This window comes from Homo sapiens, chromosome 10, assembly GCF_000001405.40.
Source record: "Homo sapiens chromosome 10, GRCh38.p14 Primary Assembly".
Lineage (NCBI taxonomy): Eukaryota > Metazoa > Chordata > Mammalia > Primates > Hominidae > Homo > Homo sapiens.
In genome coordinates this window covers 85,554,638-85,575,272 of record NC_000010.11, presented here as the reverse complement: position 1 = coordinate 85,575,272, position 20,635 = coordinate 85,554,638, and the positions used below count along the sequence as shown (strand labels likewise).

The window sequence follows — 20,635 nt, the reverse complement described above, 5'->3', positions numbered from 1 at the left end:
TCAGGGCAGTTTTATTGGGACAGGTGAAGGGACACACTTTAGTCAGACATTGAAAGGTTAAACAGAGACTGTAGAAAAGAAACGTATTGTGCAACTGATATAAACACATACCTTGATGTTAGACACATCTGTGTATAAGTCTTGTTTCTTAGTTATTAGCTGTGTGAACTTGGAACTCAATTGCCTAATCTATAAAGTGGAGATAATAATAGTTCCTATGTCAAAAGCTTGTAGTGAGAATTCAATGTAGTAGTGCACATAAAGCACTTAGCACAGTATAGAACATGGTAAGCTCTCTAGGAGTAGGTGGATATTTATACTTTTATGATACATATGACCTCAGAATGTGGCTGTGACTGTGAGTGGCTGAAAATGTGCAGATGTGCAGGGTTTTCGAGTAGAGAAGATTTTGCAACTAAGACCAGGGATTGGGAAGGGCCATTCACATGGCTGTTTTGGTGGACAACAATATTCTTGCTCTCTATCACTTCTCAGTCTTTTGGCTAAGATCAAGTGTAATATCCTTGCTCTGCCTCCATTGCTGTTGTGTGTGCCAGGCTGCAGGCTGGAGATGGTGCTGTTGGCTTCCCTCTCCACAAAAGACACATAGCAAAGGCAGTCCAGGGCTCTACCCAGTTGGGAACTTCTTTTGACTGGAAGCACATGTGCATCCAAGTTCAGCTTTGTTTGTTCATAGTAAATCCTTGTATATCATAGCACTTCATTTGCATAAAAGGATGTCCAGGTTTTAGTAATGAGACCTTTTTGTTTGACTTCTACACATAAATTGGTTTTGAGTCAGCCAAATATGCTCGTAATTAGGAGATAAATAGCAGAGGCCAGTAAGTAGCATTTTGTTTCACTTATTTAAATAGTAGGCTTACTTGGAGTGAAGCCATATTGATCCTGAGGAAGCTTTATTCAATTAGTACCCATGTTTGCATTCAGCACTATGTAGTCAGTGAGGACTCGGGTGGACTTGGGAGTGACTCTGGGTTCTTCCCAGGGGTGTCTGGTCACCACGTATCTTGCACAAGAAATTGAGACACTCTGGCTTCTACAAGATGGCATTCATGCTGGCCCTACAGGCACCAACTGCATCCGTACCAGGAGGGCCCATCCAATCCTGCTGGAAATCCAGTAAAACCCACTTCTGTGTGCCCATCACAGCCTGCAAGTTCTGGGGAAGAAAAGTCATGGTTCTCAGCTTAACAGAAAAAAGGAAGTTAGGTGTTAGTAAGCACCTGTTGTATCGCAGGTACTATTCTAAGTTGTTCCTGAGAGCAAATCATTTAATCATTACTCCCTCTTATAGCAAGGAGAACTAGACTCGAAGTAAATGCCTTGTCTAAAATCACACAAAGTGACAGGAACCCAGCTGATACGAAATATAAGACCCACATGCTCCATGTACCGCTAGTAGGTTTTTCTTCTTTCTTTCTCTTTCTTTCTCTCTTTCTCTTTCTTTCTTTCTTTCTTTCTTTTTCTTTCTTTCTTTCTTTCTTTCTTTCTTTCTTTCTTTCTTTCTTTCTTTCTTTCTTTCTTTTCTTTCTTTCTTTCTTTCTTTTCTTTCTTTTTCTCTCACTCTTTCTTTCTTTCTTTTTCTTTCTCCTTTCTTTTGTGTGTGTGTGTGTGTGTGTGTGTGTGTGTGTGTGTGCTGTGTGTTCTTCCAGTGTTGGGTTTTTTTGTTGTTGTTGTTCAGGGTTTATTAGTAAATCTGAGCAAATGACATATAGCCTGACAGTCCACCGATGTGTGGAATGTCCCAGACCAAAGTGAGATTCTGGAACGTCAGAGCAGAGCACTGAGTATTCAGGGGCCCAAAGCCTATCAGGATAGTAATGATGCATATTGCTAGGGTGCGTGATCCCCTGGGTTTGAAACCTCTCATGAAGAGGAATCATACAGAGCATAATTTCAGATTGCATATGTAAGTGAGCCATGTGGTATTGATCTTTCTGTGCCTAGCTTACTTCACTTAGCATAGCTTCCAGGTTCATCCATGTTTTTGCGAATGACAAGATTTCCTTCCTTTTTAAGGCTGAATAGTATACCATTGTACACATATGTCGTATTTTCCTTATGCATTTATCTGCCAATTATACCTTAACAAAGCTGGGGAAAACAAGTTTCAAGAAGATCAAAGAGCAAGGTCAATCAGTCTTGAATCTAACAGGAGATTGCTACGTGTCAGGAAAAATATCCATCTTCCTCTTTGGCTTAAACAACCCAAAATTAAATGAGACCATGGCTGAGGACCAGGAGGACACAAAGATGGTATCAGGATGGAGTGTATGAAGGTAGCAGGGATTATCTCTGGGGAGAATAAGGACTTAATTGAGATAAACCAGTAGAGTAAATGTGATGCCCTCTCAGCAAGAAAAAAATAAACAAAAAAAGGAATAATAGTTTCGTCCAGGAGGGGGAATTTAGGGTGAAAAGCCATCTTAGTTTGCCCTAGACTGCCCTGGTTTTAGCACTGGTGGTCCTACTTCTGGAAAATACCTCAGTAGGTAGTAAGTTGGGAATGAGTTAACAGTGCAGAGTCCATCAGAGGCTCATGACAAGGGTCAGGAGAGAGGGCAAGGTGACTTAGTGCCTGTCACTGTAGGCAATTAGCTCTCTCAGCCATGGTATCCTTAAATATGAAGTAGGAATAGGGATTTCTCTTTTGTATGGTTACTGTGAGTGAAATGTATAATGAGGTTTGGAGGAAAAGGGACAAGGAACTAAGATCATAGAGCATTCTCTCTGAAATTGTTTGTACTGTAACGTCTTGTTTAATAGTCACCTGCAATATTCTTTTTATTTATCTTGTTTTAAAAATAAGAAAAAAAGAGAAATTATTGAGCAATCAGGTCAGTTGTCTCAAGTTATATGGCTGGAAGGCAGTGGCATTACATTTGAAAACCAGGTGGTAGGGGTAAGGAGTTAGACAGAGCTGAAAGAATGTCTTTGTCAGTGGGGCTGTGAAAAATCTAGGGTTGGAAGTCCCACTGCCCCTTATCTCTGCTAACTGATTTTCAAATGTAACTCCACTGCCTTCCAGCCATATAACTTGGGACGAGTGACCTGGTCTGTCAACAATTTCTCTCTTTTTTTTAATTTTTAAAGCAAGACAAATAATAAGAATATTGCAAATGACTATTAAAGGAGATGCTTCAGTGCAAACAAGTTCAGAGAAAATGCTTTATAATTTTAGCTCCTTGTCCCTTTTCCTCCAAGCCTCATTACACACCTCGCTCACAGTAACAGGTGAGTCCCTTCTGCCTGGAAAAATGGCTGAGGATGACATTCCCCCAGTTTAAGCTGTCTGAGCTTCAGGGTGCTGAGTAATTTTCAGAAGAGCTGACCTTTTTACCTGATATTTTGTTTTTTGTTTTGGTTTTAAGAAGGAAGGTATTGATTCCTCTCAATTTCTGTTAAGGAGGGAATTGACCACTCCAAGCAAATAAGGCAAAGATAAAATGGAACAGGATGTGCTGCAGCTATGCTCATGAGTGCTTGTCAGGGATTATTTCTCCTTGGCTTGAAAGAGGATAATCAGCCCCGAAAAGACAAGGTGCCCTTGGGTATGAAATCTGCTTTTACAGAAGCTGGTTGGCAAGCATTTAGTCAGTTGGGGATACATACCCCTTAGTCTCCACTGCAACCAGAAGCCCACATGTCCCCACTGGGAAATTGGCCATTTTTAACCAAATTAACAAGGAAAGGCCCTCTCCAGAACCAGCTCCATGGGAAGTGCAGAGACCATGGGAGAGACCCGGGCAATGGCTCTTGGAGCTTCAGAGGCCTGGAGCTACCAGCTCACCTTTGAGGAAGGAAACTCCAGCCAGACTGGCCTGACCTTGACACTGCTGGGACTCAGGAAACAAACTCCCAAAATGAAGGCCTTAGAAGCAGCCTCAGAAGCACAGGTCTCTCCCTGACCTCTGGCCCCTCATTCTCCCCCGAGGCTAGCCATGGAAGCCAGAATCCTTCCTCCCCGAGGTGGGACATAGAAATCAGAACCTCTTTTCCTCAAAGCCAGCTGTGAAACCTAGAAATATTACTCTAATTTTCCCTCCGCCTTTCTGTGTAAAAACTGCCTATGAAGAAATTATGTGATCTACCATGTTTCACTGTAAGTCATAAGACCCCATTCCAGAGAAGGTCCTGCCCCATGCCTTGAAGGAAGAAATGCTGTGCAGAGAGGCCCAGAAGAATCTAGACAGACAGGCCTTGCCTCCCCATTCAGGCTCTTAGCATTAGATCATACCCTTTTAGTCCAGTTATATTTCTACACAGCTGTCCACATTTTGTGAAACCTAACCACAAAAATGGACAATTTCCCTGTATCTTTGGCCCTTTTTTCTGAAGGCTCCTGTGTCATAGAAAACTATGATCAGACAAATGTGTTTGCAAGTTGATTTTTCAGCAAACTTTAGGAGGGCTAAGTGGAACTTTCCCCTTGGCCTCATAACACCCAACCTTACAATTTTATATATGATACCTCCAAAAGGGACAAATGACCTGTAAATGCTGATTTTTAAAATGACATTTTTCTAATTCTTATTCAATAGCTTTCAATTTCTCTAAGTATAGAAATTATGGGGAATTTTAAAAAGTATTTACAAAAATGATAGCTAATCAATGTATAATTTAAAAATCATGAATTTGCAATTCCTAATATAAAAACTTACTCGAGAAAATACTAGCAATGGGTACAAAAACCCGTGGGTGAAATGTTTTTGGAAAAAAAATTCACAGTGACACATATTATTGCTCAGTTACTTACTGATTATAAAGGGAAAAATATTATCTTAAAATGGAGAGATGGTGTTAACTACATTAAGCAAATGATCCAAACTAGCATCCTTTATGGTGAAACATCCTGGCATTTTTGACTTCTGATAAGATGTTATTTGAAGTTATGATATCACCTATGATGTATTCTTGACAAAAATATCTAATCTTAATCTAAATAAATCATTAGCCCTAAGGTTAAATTTAATTGAAATTCAGAAATAGAGGAATGCTTTGAGCAATAGCATCAGTAAACAATCAGAAAAGTCCAAATTGTGGAAAATTCAATTAGAAGACTGTAACCTGACTCTTTAAAAGGAAACAAATAAACAAACAATAAACAATAAACTATTCTAGTTTAAAAGAGATCATAGAAAAATAAGAACAAATGCATTGTAATGCGTGAGCCTTGATTGGGCCTTGGATCCGGAATAAATAATTAAATCAGTAAAACAAGGCCTTTCTGTAATTCCCAAACAATTAAATCAGTTACAGGGACAATTTGAAGGCAAATGGGTAAATCTGAATATAGAATGCATATTATATGTTACTATGGGATTATTATTAATTTTAACTATAATAAAGGTATTACAGTTATGTTGGAAAAGGTCCTTATTCAGAGGAAATATATAAGCATTTACGAGTGAATTATTATTATGCCTGCAACTTATTTTAAAATGTCATTGTAAAAAATTGTACACGAAAAGAATTTTTTAGAAGTAGAAAAGTGCTAACAATTATTAATATTCTTTCACAATTTCTGAATGTTTAAAAACTTGAAAAACAAAAATTTGTAAAGTTCTCCTTCTGCTATAACAGAGCAATTGGTACCAGATAATCCCTCTTGCTGTAAATAAATATTAAAAATTGGAAAGAAGTATATTAGGCAAAGCTTCTAGATTATGGAATCACATTGCAACACAGCAATATGCTTCCTGAGATAGACGGAAACACATGAGGTGAGCCCTGTGATTGCCCTGGCATTTTGCAGAGGGGCACTCTGCACTGCTTTGCAGGGATGTAGCGATCTAGGAAAGTTTAGGGGCTTAGAGGAACTGAGATTACAGAAATCAGAGGATCTGAAAGTTCGAGGCAGCTAGAGACAGCAAAGCAGGGTACTGGAGAAAAGGTAGCTGTGTAGAGAAGGAACTTCAAAAATCAGCAGCAGGTCTCAAGGTTTTGGCCAAATACTACATTGCTGATATGCAGAAACACAGTCAGGTAGACAAAAGTTGCTGGGCAACTGTGGGTTGAATAGAGATTTCTTTGGCTATGTAATGGCCAGAGTCAAAGGGAGTGGTTCAAACAGCTAGAGTGAAAGGATCCTGTTGAAAATCCTGAGCTTTTAGTTAATCAGTTGACTCCTCAGAATGACAAGTACTAAGGAGCAGGATAAATATACCACATCTATTCAGATCATAGTCCAGCTGCAAAAAAGAGAGAGATTGGGTAGGGAGAGAAAGAGAGAGAGAGGGAGAGAGAGAGGAAGAAGGAGAGAGGGAGAGAGAGAGAGGGAGAAAGACAGAAAGAGAGAAAGAGAGAAAGAGAGAGATTGAATATCCTGTAAAGCAGCCAGAAAAAAATGTACATTACATGCAAGGAAACAATTTCAATGACAGCTGACTTGTGAGAAGAAACAATGGAGGCCAGAAGATAGAAAAAGACCACCTTTAAAGTGCTAGGAAATGTACATGGGTGTATAAGTGCACACACACAAACACACACACACACAAGTTATACAACTAGAAAAACTATTCTTCAGTATCAGAACAGCATAAAAATATTTCCAGGGAAAGAAATTGCGAGAATTTGTCTTTACATGTCTTCACACAAAAAGCTACAGAAATTGCTTCAGACTGCAAAGAATTGATACCATATGGAAATTCAGATTAACAGAAAGAGATAAAGAGCCCAGGAAATAAAAAAACATATGGAGAAATATGACAGCCCATATAATTTTTTTCTCTTAATTTCTTTAGAAGACATAACTTCTAAAGCAATAATTATATACCTGTGTGTATGTATGTGTGTATGTGTGTGTGTATGCATATATATATATATATATATATATATATATATATATATATAGGCAATAACAGTGCAAAGGACAAGGATAAATATCAAACTATATCAAAATAAGGCTCTCATATTGATGGCAAAGTGATATAATATTAACTTTTAAGTTATATTTTATAGTCAACATTTTATAGTCTTCAATTTATGAGACTTGAATATTACTTATTTTTTCCTATTTTACATAATACAGTTATATTATTGATAACTTTTTGCCAATTATTTGTTAGTATTAAAAATATAATTGGTTTTTGTATATTGACATTGCCTCTTGTAAAATTGCTAAATGTAATTTTAACTTCTAGTAGATTTTTAGTAGATTTCATTGAGTATTTTACATACACAGTCATTATTACAAGTAATAACAGTCAACGTTTTATTTCTTTTTTTCCCAACCAATCTTTATTTCCTTTTCCCTTCTTTCCTTCCTTCTTTATTTTTTCAATAGTTTGGACTTCCAGTACAACACTGAATGCAAACTAAGGAGTAGATATGTTCTTTTTTCTGATTTTAGTGGAAAATCATTCAATATTCTACCATTAAGAATGATGTTAGCTAGATGTTTTTTTGTTTTGTTTTGTTTTGTAAATGTCCTTTATTCAGAATGAGGAATTTCTTTTATGTTCCTGGTTTCCTGAAAGCTATTATGAAGGGGCTGTAAATTTAATCAAATGATTTTTTGCATTTACTGAAGTGATCATTTTTTTCTCTTCATTCTGGTGATGTGGTGAATTACATTGCCTGATTCACAGATGTTAAAACAACCTTGCATTCCTGAGAGAAATTCTATTTGGTCATGACTTATTATTCTTTTTATGTATTGCTGGGAAAGGTTTACTAACATTTTATGAAGGATTTTATGTCCATGTTCATGAGAGATATTGATCTGTAACTTTTTCTTCCAATGTCTTTGTCAGGTACTAATATCAGTATTTTATGAGTTTCACAAAATATGTTAGAATAACCATTTACTCCTTTTTAGTACTACAAAAAATTGTGCAGAATTTTTGATTTATTCTGAAAACATTTGTTTAGAATTCACATTATCTCTCTCAAAATTTCATGGAATTGTTAAAAAAATCATCTGGGCCTAGGATATTCTTTGTGGAAATATTTTTTAGTATGAGTTGAATTTTTTAGTAAATATTGGGATTTTTTTATTTTATATTTCTTCTTGTATCAACTGTGGTAAGTTTTACTCTTCAAGGCTTTGTTCACTTAATTTATGTCAAAGAATTTATTATCATTAAATTCTTCATGCTATTCCCTTATTATCTTTTCAATGTTGGTAAATTTATAATTATGTTTCTTATTTTATTTCTGTTGTTAGATATTTGCATTTTCTCACTGTATCTTAACTAATATTGCTGGATTTTGACTAATTTTTTTATTATTTTCAAAGTTTTGAGTTATCAATTTTTTATGTCATTTTTCTATTGATTCCAACATTTATTAATTTTTTCTACTTATTTTTGATTTAATTTGCTTTACTTCTAGTTTCTCAAGTTGGAAACTAAGGTAATTTGGTTGAGACCTTTATTATTTTCTAATACAATCATTTAAAGCCATTTAATTTCCTCTAAGCACTTCTTTAGCTATGAGCCGCACAATTAGATATGTCGTGTTTTAGTTATAACTTAGGCTGAAATACTTTTTAATTTTTTTAATTCCCTGTTTGATGTGTTATTTAAAGTGGTATTACTAAATTGTCAAATATTTGGGAATTTTCTGGATACCTTAATGCCACTGATTTCTTATTTAAAATCCTTATTGTCTACAAAAGAGTCAAACTCTGTAAAATATTTGAAGAGATTTATTCTGAGCCAAGTATGAGTGACCAATGACCTGTGACACAACTCTCAGGAGATCCTGAGAACATGTGCCCAAGGTGGTTGTGGCACAGCCTAGTTTTATACATTTTAGGGAGAAATTAGACATCAATCAAATACATGTAAGATTTATATTGGCTCAATCTAGAAAGGTGGGACAACTTCTAGATCTAACCAATCTGGTGGGGTGTGGGGATTTGTGGGAGCTTCCAGATCATAGGTGGATTCAAAAATTTTCTGATTGGCAGTTGGTTGAAAGAGTTATTATCAATAGAAAGGAATATCTTGGTTATGACAAGGGGTTGTGGAGAACAAGTTTTTATCATGCAGATGAAGCCTCCAAGTAGCAGGCTTCAAAGAGAATAGATTGTCTGATCAGATTTAAGATATGTGTTGATGTTAATGCTGGCTGGCTTTTCCTGAATTGCAAAACTGGGGAGGGTATAATGAAGCATGTCCAACTGCCCCTTCTATCATGGCCTGAACAAATTTTTTAGGTTAAATTTGGAATGTCTTTGGCCTAGAGGAGGCATCCATTCATATGGCTGGGGTAGGGGGCTTAGCATTTTATTTTTGGTTTGCAATGAGGTGGGAGAATATATATATTCTACATGATTCCATTCTTTTATATTGATTAAAACTTGCTTTGTGACCCAGAATATTGGTCTATCTTGGTGACTGCTCTATATGCAATTGAAAATAATGGGTATTCTGCAGTTTTGAGGTGAAGTGTTCTGTAAATACCACTTAGGTCAAATTCCATGACAATGTTTTTCAAATTCTGTATTTTGCTACTTTTTTATACACTTATTCTATCAATTACTCAGAGAGGAGTGTGAAATATCCAACTATAGTTTCTCCCAGCTCTTTCTCTGCTCTCAGCTGTTCAGTTGTTGAAAGCCTGGCTGCCTTGATAAATCCATGTCTCTCAGCTCCCTTCCTGCCTCTCTGCTTATGGAGTATTCTTGCCTTGCCCTTGGGGGAGGGTCCATGCACCTCAATGGCATCTCAGCAACTGCCCTGCATTGCCACTGACACACACTACCCAAGAGCACTCAGTGAAGACACTTGGGAAAGAATTGGTGTGTGGGGCAGACTTGTTCTGCAGCCCAGGTGCCTCAGAATTTCACACCATCATGCAGGCTCACGCTGGGCCCTGGCAAGTTTGTAAAAGTTCTTACAGTTTCTCTTAAAACTCACCAGTGATGAAATTTTCCTCTTCACACTTCCCTGTGAGCCATCGGTCTCTTTTATTCCATAATATGTTTATCTTTTTTTCTGGAATGCAGTGTATTTGCATTCATAAGTTTCTGATAGGCTTTGGTGAAAAAAAAATAAAACCTACAATTTTTTTTGCTTAACCAGTTTGTTTTGGTTGATAGTGTACAAACAATGGTTTTGTTCTATTTTCTAAATACTAACAAAAGAAGAAAGTCTGTTTCAGTTGATTTTTTTATTTTTAAGGCTTACTTTTTCAAGTCTATTTTTAAATATGTGAAATTTTTTTTGGTTCAAAATCAAAAGTGTATAAAAATTATACTGTGAGAATTTTGTTTTAACTCTGTTCTCTTAAAAATAACAATTGTGCATTGCTTCCTGTTTTGTGTGTGTAGATAGATTACATAAATAGGTATTAATTTCTCATCCTTTCTTATACAGAAAGTAGTATTCTAATATCTGTTCTGTGACTTGTTTGATTATAAACTCAAAAAATTAAAAACATATTCTATTATACAGAAAAGTACACAAATGATAAGAATATACCTTGTGAATAATTATAAATGAACAGATTGGCATGATCACTGCATTTTCCGAGAAATGTTACTAGAACCCATGATCCTCCTTCATGTCCCCTCTCAATCATTACACTTTTCTTTTTCCTCAATTATACCACTATCCAGACTTTTACCATCACAAGTTAGTCCTGCCAACTTTTGAAATTTTATAGACAGAATTATACAGACTTTCTTATGTCTGGTTTATTTACTCAACAATGTATTTATAAAAGAATCAACTCTGTTTTTATGTAAAGTCTTAGTTCATTCATTTTGTCTAGTCATGTAATATTCCATTATAGGAATATCATGAAATTTATTTTCCTACTCTATTCTTCATAGATTTTGCAATTAGTCATTATACTTTAAAATTCCATATTATCTACAAATAATTAGTTTTATTTGTCACTTTCTGATTCATATACATTTGTTTTCATTTCCTTTCCTTATTTTATCACACAGAAATGTGGTAAAATCAGTATAAAATTGATTGGACACACGAGAGTTAACATTCTGGTTGCTAAAACACCAGATGATTTTTTTTAAAAGATTAAGAAAAATCTTGTATTCTAGATTTTCAAATTCTTTTTAATTTTTGTCATCAATAGAGGTTGAATTTTATCAAATTATACTTAGGTATTTATTGAGATAATAAACTTTTATCCCTTATTCCATTAACAAGATATATTATGTTGATTAATTTTTGAAAACTGAAGCAAATTGCAATCCAGAAATAAACCTAAATTGGACGTAGTATGTTATAATTTGTATGTATTACTGACTTTTTAACAAATATTATCTTTAAGAGTTTTCATTTTTTTTATACGTGGATTGTCCAGTACATTTCTTTTCTTATAATTCCTTCATCATGTTTAAATACCATGTTAACTCTGGTTTCTTAAAATAAAATAGTCAGTGCTCTGACTTTTTTTACTTCTTTAGAAATATTTTTATAAGCTTGGTGTTATTCTTTTATTAAAGTTTGCCAATCTTGTGCTTTGAAGCCATCTGAAACTGCTCTTTTATTTGTGAAGAGGTTTTTATGTGTTTTTTTAAGAATGCAGTTTTTTAATAGAGAAAGGACAATTTATGTTTTCTTTGATCTTAGGTCAGTTGTAATAATTTTTTAAGACTTTTTGATTTTATTCAAATTTTTACATTTATTTTCCAAAAGTTGACCATAATATCCTTTATTTTTAAATTTGATGTCTTTTTATTTTTTATTTCTGATTTTGGAAATTTGTCCTCTCTTTTTTCTATTCATTAGCATTAACAAATTTTTAAATCAATTTTGAATTCTATTTAAAGTATAAATTTTTGTTGTCAATCCTCTTGATCATATTTTGTTTTTTATTTAATTAATTTGATCTCATATTGATTTTCTTCATATACTTCCTTTGTGCTTCCTTTTTCGATTTAATTTTCAGTTTGTTATGTCTTCTGACTCTCATGGTAGATTATTATCTTATTTTATGTAAGCACATCTTCAGCAGAGGCTATTTTTGTCTATAGAAATATTATATATTCTAATTTTTATAATTGTTAATATGAATAGCTTTGATTTATTTTTATTAGATAGCCTACGAGTTTCAACAGTTTGGAGCTAGATTTAACCTTTTTTTATTTGTGAATTATTTTTTATTCATAGGATTAGACAAACTTTTGATTTCATTTGCATACATGAAGCAGTTTATGAGTTTAATTCCACAGGAGATATAGAAGACATTTTTACCCACCCAAAGCCCTAGGCAGAAGCATGTTTACTTTTCATTTCTCATTGTCCTGGGGAGAGAGTGTAAGTATTCTCTTCTTCCTATCACTTAGGTACAATCCTTCTATGATTCTGATTCTGAGCAGAGCTGCTCAGCTCATCCTCTGGTAAATTCAAGCCAAAAGCTAAGTGTTCTCTTTCTGAGGCAGCACCAAGACCCCCAGCCCTTCCCTCTGAGGTCTGAGTCTTTCATGCTATCACACCAGACTTCTACAGAGACATCTATAGGGCTTATTGTTTCATTAATTTTACTCATGGTTTCTAGATTTCCTTTTCTTTTAGACATTAAAATACTGCATTGGATATTGCAGTATGTTGTGTACTGGATACTGGATGCTGCATTGTGATAGAGATGTATGCTAACTGCTTCCACAATATTGTTGGACTCCTGATTCTAGTCTACCTTTATAAAAGTTAGACTGGAGTCTGATTTGTGTGTTTCAAGTGAGGTAGTGAGGATAACAATATTAGCCTGGATATTATAGTAAGGTAACTATGCATTTGGATGATCAGGAAACAAGACAAAATGGTTAAACTGTGTAACATAAATTTTATTCTGTTTGCAAGATAGCAAGCATATAAAAATACTACTCCTGAGACAGCCTCAATATCAGGCAAGCCTTAGCAAACAATGTGCCTTGGACTTAAGCATCAATAAATCAAAATGCAAAATTTTTTCTTCTTCACAATGCAAATATACGTAAGAGTTGAGGCTGAGCATAAGTCCACACTGGGAAAAAATAACTAAGCCCATCAGCATGCATTGGGTTTTAGTGAATTTGGCTTCATATACCCCTAATTTAGAGTGTCCCAAAGTTTGCAATTAAAAGCTACAACTGAACAGTGGCTGAACACTGACTCATTAGTAGAGACTTACAAAAGCTCAACAAAAACCTCCTAAATTATAGACCATAGCTATTCACAAGGCTTTCTCAGTTTTGGCAAAGCAGTGTTTTTAAAGGGTAAGAGTGTGTTTGGGGATGGAATTGTGTATTTTTTTCATCACTACGTATTTATTTATATCAATATTTTATTGTGTCACAGATACAGAAATGGGCAATAGAACTTCATCATTCAACAATCTAGAGGAAAATTCTTTTAGTTTTTTTTTTTTTTAATTTTCACCTATTTCTAACTCCATCTCTCTCCCATCAGGTTATCCATAGTGTGTAAAATCTACATGTTTTGGAGCATATTTTTATTCTTAAAAAATAGTGCTACAGATTATGGTGGATAATGCAGGTGCCCCACCACATCCCCTAGCTGCCGTGAATGTTGACTGGTAAGACCCCCGATAATCCCCTTTACTGAATTATTGCCCTTAGCTGTATGAGAGATACCCCTACCTTGCTTCTTTAAAACAATAATTTCAACTTTTATTTTATATTCAGGGAGTACATGTGCAGATTTGTTACAGGGGTATATTGTGTGATGCTGAGGTTTGTGGTACCAATGATCCTGTCACCAGTTAGTGAGCAAAGTACACAACAATTGGTTTTTTGCCCCTTGCCCCCACTTCTACCTCCCTCCTCTAGTAGTCCCCAGTGTCTATTGTTCCCAAGTCTATGTCCATGAGTACCCAATATTTAGCTCATACTTATAAGTGAGAACATGCTGTATTTTGGTTTTCTGTCACTGTGTTAATAATTTGCTTAGGATAATGACCTCCAGCTACATCCATGTTGCTGCAAAGGACATGATTTCATTCTTTTTTACAGCTGGATAGTATTCCATCTACCTTGCTTCTTGCTTCTCTCATTCTTCTTTTCTTAAGAGAAGCACTTCAACAAGAATTCTTCTCAGGCTCTGCTTTTGGGGAAAGCAACCTAAGACACAGGTTTGTTATAGAAATTATATTTGTACTCATATATATTAATATTTTAGGTATATGTGTATTTTGATAAGAGCAGCAAGAATGGCAGAATAATTTGAAAAAAAGAGGAATAAGAGGAGAGGAACTTTTTTATTAGATAACATGACCAAATAAACCTTATAGTCATTAAACAGTGTTTTAGACATAGTGATATCAACTCTAAGAAACAGGATGGAAATGCAGAATGAGAATCAGGTGTAATTATTTTGTTACTGATACGTAACTAGTGCTTAGAACACAGTTGAATACATGGTAGACAATGAAAACATATTGATCAGATGGAAAATTGACGTGCAACAGAGCTGGCATTACAAAGCAGTTGGGAAGAAGGGATCATTCCAGTAAAAGGTTCTGACATAGTAGCTTATCCATATGAAAAAAAAATTGAATCCCATCTTTATACTGTAAAAACAGATCAATTCCAGTCGGTTAAAGATGTAATTGTAAAAAGTAAAATTTTAAAATGTTTAGCAGAAAATATAGCAAATATCTTTATGACCTCGATATTGGAGAATGCTTTTTCAAATACATCAAGAACCACGTGAACATAAAGAAAAGATGGATTTCAAACTTTTAATTAAAAATATTCTGCATCAAAAATACAAACAAATGGAAAAGATAACCCACAGATCAGGAAGCATATTTGCTGTGCACAAAACTGACAAAGAATTAGCATTCAGTAGTGTATATAGAATTACTATAAATCAATAAGAAAATAGATGAAAATTGAAAAACAAAAAAAAAGATATGAAGAAGTAAACCCCAAAGAGTAAATAAATACATGTTAAGATTCTCAACCTCAGAAGACTTCTCGTATTCATCAGATAAATAAATTTTATAAGGCAACAACTAACAATATTATCTGAATGTGCCACATGTTAGCAGAGATGTCAGTAAAGAAAAAGGATGTACCGCAGGTACATCCATGCGGTAGCAGTGAGAATATAATTGGAGTCACCACTTTGGAGAATCATTTGACAATATCTAGATAAATGCAAACACTACTGTTATAGGAATTTCAGATTTAGTATTATACCATAGGTGAATTCATACACATGTGAACAAGAAGACATATACAAAAATGCTCATTTCAAAATGACTTGTAATGTCAAAAAATTGAAATGATCTGCCCATGATGACAAGGAAAGTACTAGGTAGTATATTCACACAATGAAATACTGTACAGTCAAATAAACATACTGGATGTACAAACAACAACAGAGAGAAAACTCAAAAACACAAAGTTAAATAAATCAAGCTGGTTGCAAAAGGATTCATGCAGTATGATATCTTTTTTAGAAAGCTTTAAACATATAAAATAATACTGTATATTGTTTCTGCACAAATACATATGTAGGAGGAGCATAAAAGTATAAGCAAGGGCAGACTAATTTTAAACTCTTGCCAGAGATAAGAGAATATGTTCTTGGAGGTTTAATGTTCAATTACTTATGGGGTTGAATTTTATTTGAAATGTTTTATTTTTTAAACCAAGGGAAACATTTATAAGTTTTTGGTTAAATGATGTATATTTTTCTATGCCTGAACATTTTATTGACAAAAAGGAAAAATAATCTTATGCTATTTTGTATGTTTTTAAGTGTACATTATATGCAGATATATATGTGGATATGTATACATACACACATATATCTGTTTACACAAAATATACAGCTTAGTTTTATACTTAATTCCCTCAGTGATTTGCTTGCTTGTTTTCTATTTATTTATGTTGTACTATGCAGATCATCAATGTTCTGATAAATTCTCAGTGATCCATTTTATTACAGTATTCATCCTTCCCATTTGACTTTTATTCTTCTAGCAATGGACAGTTGAATGCCTTCTGTTCTTCTACTCAACCTCTTGTAGACCTATGCAGAAATTTTCTTTGTGATATGGATGAATCATAGAGTGTGCACATATGTAACTTCCATGCACACTCCCAGATATTTCTAAATCAGATAGCCCCAAATGGCATCTCATTTTGCACTTCTACCAGAAATGAATAAGGGATTATATCTTTCCACAATCACCTCCCAGTCTGTCATTGGTTAATAAAATCGACAGCATTCTTTACTAAACAGAAATTTTAAAATACAATATAACAAAATTAATTAATTCATTTTTACCTCATACTATTTTATTTTATTTTTTCATATCTGGTTAAGCAAGTTTGCTCTTAGTCCAAGGTCACAAGAACCCTCTTGGCTGAGGACTAAGTGTTCTAAATGTTCTAGCAGGGAATTTCAGCTCCTTGAATGCTCTTCGTCAAAGAACTATTCTCCTCTCTCTGAGAAGGTGATCCTCCTCAACCACAGAGGCAGTTTCAGGAAGAGTGCCCATGGAGGCTTGAAAAGGAGTGTCACGTCTAGGCAGCCAGAGCACACATGTTGCTATCTGGACAATCAATGAACTGTGAGTTGTCCCAGACAAGGCATCCTGACATGTGGTTGGGAAAGTTGAAAGCAGAGCGTGACTTAGCAACACATGACTCAGCTTTCCCTTTCTGCACCTCCGAGTTCCCACGTGTAATATGGAGGGATGGACAATATTGTATCTAGTATTCCCTTACATTCAAACTGTTCGTGATAGAATTATTTTTACTAACTGATAAATTTTATCCTTCCATAGCTGTAGGAATCAGCTTTGGTGATATCAGCTTCCCATGTGCTCTACAACAAGCCAATTATAAATCAAGGTCATCTCAGTATCTAGGTGGTTCCATGTTAAACTGTTCACCAAGTATAGTACTTTAGCTTAACTGCCATATAGATAAATTCTCAAACTTCAATAATTTCACCCCATAGAAACTCAATCTCACCCAAATAAAGCCCAATCGAGTGTTTCTGGTAGGGAGACTTTTCAAGCAATCACTCAAGGACTTGGACTTTTTTAAATTGTATTTCTCCCCTCCTTTAGGTTCATGATGCTCTCTCTGGCCACCTTCCAGACAGGAAGAAAGAGCAGAGGATCACTGTGAGAGGAATTTGAGGATCAAATCCTGAAGTGGTACATGTCACTACTGTTCATAGTCTCTTTGCTGGAACTTGGTCCTATGGCCCTACTGGCAGAGAGGAAGGCTATGAAACCCAGTCTAGGCCTGCGCCTAGAAGAAGAAGAAGAAGAAACACCTTTTGAAGAACAGAGAGCAGTCTCTGTCATACCAGGAGTACCTGTCACATACTTGTAGAACAAAAATCAGTAACATTTTAATTATTGAAACAATGTAACAACTTTAAACACAGTTTCATAACTAGGAGTGAATCACCCATAATCTCATACCCGGAACAAAATATCTGTTAGTATGATGCACCTTTACATAGCTGTAATCTTAAAGGGCATGTACTTCCTTCTTTGCTTTCCTTTTTTTTTTTCTTCATCCTTTCCCTCTCTCCCTCTCTCCCTCTCTCCCTTTCTCCCTTCCTTCTTTCTTTTCTTCCTTTCTTTCTGATTTTCTAACTTCCTTCTTTAAACATTCCTTGATCGTCTGTGGGTCTGGACAGCAACATGGAGATCAATTAGGCGCAGCATTTTAAATTTGCCCTCAAGAAGTTCCACTAGTGTAAGAGTAGGCAAGTAACCAATTATTACAATAGTGGGACAAGCGCTGTGATAGAAATAAATACAGAGTACTGTGGCAGTCCTTACCCAGAAAAAGATATCTAGGGTAGATGGTATCTGAACTGAGAATTAAAGAATAAATAGAAGATAGCATGGCAAAAAAAGTTCAAGAGTGTTCCATTCTTTGAGAATAGGGCATTGAGATAGAACCTGTAGACATGAGATAGAACTGTGTGCATCCTGGAAATTGCACATGGTTCAGATTGATTGGGAAATAGAGTGTGGATGGGAAGTGATGAAAGCTGAGTCAGTAGAGTTCGATGGGGGTCAAATTGTGAAAGAGTGTGAGCTCTGCTAAGGAGATGATATTTTAGCTTAAATACCAGAAGAGCCATTGAATTATTTTAAGCATAGGAGTGATCTAATCGGAACTCTGCTTGAGAAAGATAACCCTGGTTGCTGTGTGAAAAAATATACCAGAGGCAAACAAAGTTGAAGCCAGGAGACCAGTTAAAAGACAAAATTCATAATTTATATGAGATATGATGATAGTTTGACTTAGGCTGTGATTGACATTGCAGAGTAACATATCGCATTCAAGAGATGTTTGGATGATGAAACCAAGAGGGCTTGGAAATTGATTGGATATGAGGCATTAGAGGAATATGTTAGGGCTAGATCCCAGGATTCTGGTTTAGATAATTGGATAGACAATTAAAGCAGAAACTATTGAAGAAGGGGAGAAGATAAAGAGTTTTGATTTTCATTTCAATTCTAAGGTATTCTTGGAAATATAAGTAGAGGATGCTGATGGGGGTTGGTTATAAAGCAAATTCAAGAGTGAGACTTCTGGAGTTAAGATACATAATCGGATCTGTAAGAATGAAAGAAAGAAGTTGTTCAGGGACTATGTGTACAGTATGAAGACCAACATATAAATGAAATATAAAAGAACAAAAGCTGACAATGGAGTCTGTGAAAGAGCAAACAAAAAAATGAGGAAGAGAACAGAGCATGAAGTCACAGAAACCAAGGGAAGAAAATTTTAGATGCCGATCAAAGATCAAGGAAAATAAAGATAAAAATGTGTCAATTAGATTTGGTATTAAAGAAAGCATTAGTATCTTTTTGAATACAATTTTATGGCTGCATGGCAAAGAATCAGATGACTGGAATCAGGAAGTGAATAGAAAGTGAGAAATGAAAAGGGCTCTCGATAAGGTTTCCCTTATTGAGATAGGAGGTAAGCTCTAATGTTTATTTGAAGTTTTTTTTTTTCTTCCAAAGCTGGGAAAGATTTAATAAAGTATGAATGCTTTTAAGGAAAAGTTTGTAGACAGAGATTTTTTGACAATAGTAGAGCAAATCATGGCGAAATAATTGATAGGATGAGGTCCCAAGAAAGCAAGAACACTCCTTGAGGAAGAAGCTTTCCATTTTAACAGGCAGTAACAAAGAGCAATGAATCAGGATGAGTCTACGTTTGTCAGTTTAGAGTGGAAATTGTTGGTAGAGCTCATGGGACAACTCCTATTTTACTTGTGACAAAAGCTTAACTGCTGAGAGCAAACAGGGTGGTGGGATCAGCTATTATTTTTAAATGGAGAAATTTAAAAATCACAATTGCGAAGTAAAATCTTTCAAGAAAGATAGAAGAGGAATACTGCTTAGTGCTGTGCGCCTCTTTGAAGTCAGAGTTGATGCAGTGACCACCATGCCAAGGGCTGCTTCGGGGCTTTCTCCCACAGCGCTCATTGAGCTATGTGAGAAGGCGAAGATGGAAAATAGGTGAATGACAGCACACATATCACACGAGTTTGGCAAGAGGATAAGTGAGGCAAGGGTAGCAGCAAGAGAGTGAAGAAAATGCTCAGCCAGAAAACCTAAGCTGACTATGAAAGAAGGAAAACAGTTCCACAGACTGGAGAGTTGCAAGAGATACAGATTAAGCAACAGTAATTAACTGAAGAAGAATTAATTAACTGAAAGAAGTAATTAACTTCTTTCTTAGAAGAAGAAGAAAAAACGGTAATATCCTGAGCATGTATGTTTTACTTTACTATGACATAAAGAGTCCACGGAGATCTAAATAAATATTTGTTGAATGATGAACGAGTGGATTTTTCTGTGTGCACATATAAACTTTCACCTGTTATTATACACCTAGGTTGCTTTTATTTTCAGTTTGTTTTTGAAATTATCAGTAGAGTTTTTCTTTCAGAGTGTACAGTTCTATGCTTTTAAAATTAATATACATTATTTTTAAAGCAGCTTTACATTTACAGAAAAATTGAGCAGAAAGTTGAGTTTCCATATACTACTCCTCTCCCCCATACCCTGCACACAGTTAACATCTTGCATTCATGTGGTACACTTGTTATCGTTAATGAACCAATATTGGTATATTATTATTAATTAAATTCCATATTTTACATTAGGGTTTACACTTTGTGTTACACAGTACTATGGGTGTTGACAAATATAAATGTTATGTATCTACCATTACGATATCATACAGAATAGTTTCACTGCCTTAAAAGTCCCCCGGGCTCCACCTACTCATGCCTACCTTCTTCTCATCCACCCTTTTCCTAGCAACCCTTCATCTCTTTATTGCCTCTATAGTTTTTTCTAATTTGAAGTCATATAGTTAAAATTGTACAGAATATGGCCTTTGCAGACTGACTTCATTAACTTAGTACTATGCATTTAAGATTATTCTATGTCTTTTTTGTGGCTTGATGGCTCATATAAAAAAATCTGAATAATATTCCATTGTATGGATGTATCATAGTGTATCCATTCACTTATTGAAGAATGCCTTGGCTGCTTCTAAGATTTGACAGTTCTAAATACAGCTGCTATAAATGTCTGTATGCAGGTTTTTGTGGGACATCAGTTTTCAAATAATTTGGGTAAATTTACTTGGTGATTGCTGGATTGTATGGTAAAATGATGTTTAGCT

The 20,635-nt window shown here is 35.1% G+C and overlaps 1 long non-coding RNA gene across 4 annotated transcripts in view, besides 1 other annotated feature; it reads left to right on the top strand.

Moving 5' to 3' along the window:
* Positions 1 to 20,635, top strand: part of LOC105378404 (uncharacterized) — a 46,329-nt gene that overhangs the window by 8,135 nt on the left and 17,559 nt on the right. For 2 of the 4 annotated variants that reach the window (XR_946156.3, XR_001747523.2), the window contains 3 exons: positions 13,389 to 13,515; positions 13,952 to 14,070; positions 17,029 to 19,782. This is a non-coding gene — a long non-coding RNA (uncharacterized LOC105378404). Of the gene's footprint in view, positions 1 to 13,388; positions 13,516 to 13,951; positions 14,071 to 16,349; positions 16,525 to 17,028; positions 19,783 to 20,635 lie in introns of those variants that run through there. The other 2 variants (XR_007062220.1, XR_946157.3) reach the window with 2 other exon arrangements.
* Positions 16,130 to 17,329: an enhancer, noted in NCBI's record as "P300/CBP strongly-dependent group 1 enhancer chr10:87317701-87318900 (GRCh37/hg19 assembly coordinates)". NCBI's record gives its function as "activates an origin of replication core promoter dependent on BRD2, BRD4, P300/CBP, MED14 and CDK7 cofactors, with strong dependence on P300/CBP, by STARR-seq in HCT116 cells {active_cell/tissue: HCT116}" and the evidence as "EXISTENCE:reporter gene assay evidence [ECO:0000049][PMID:35650434]".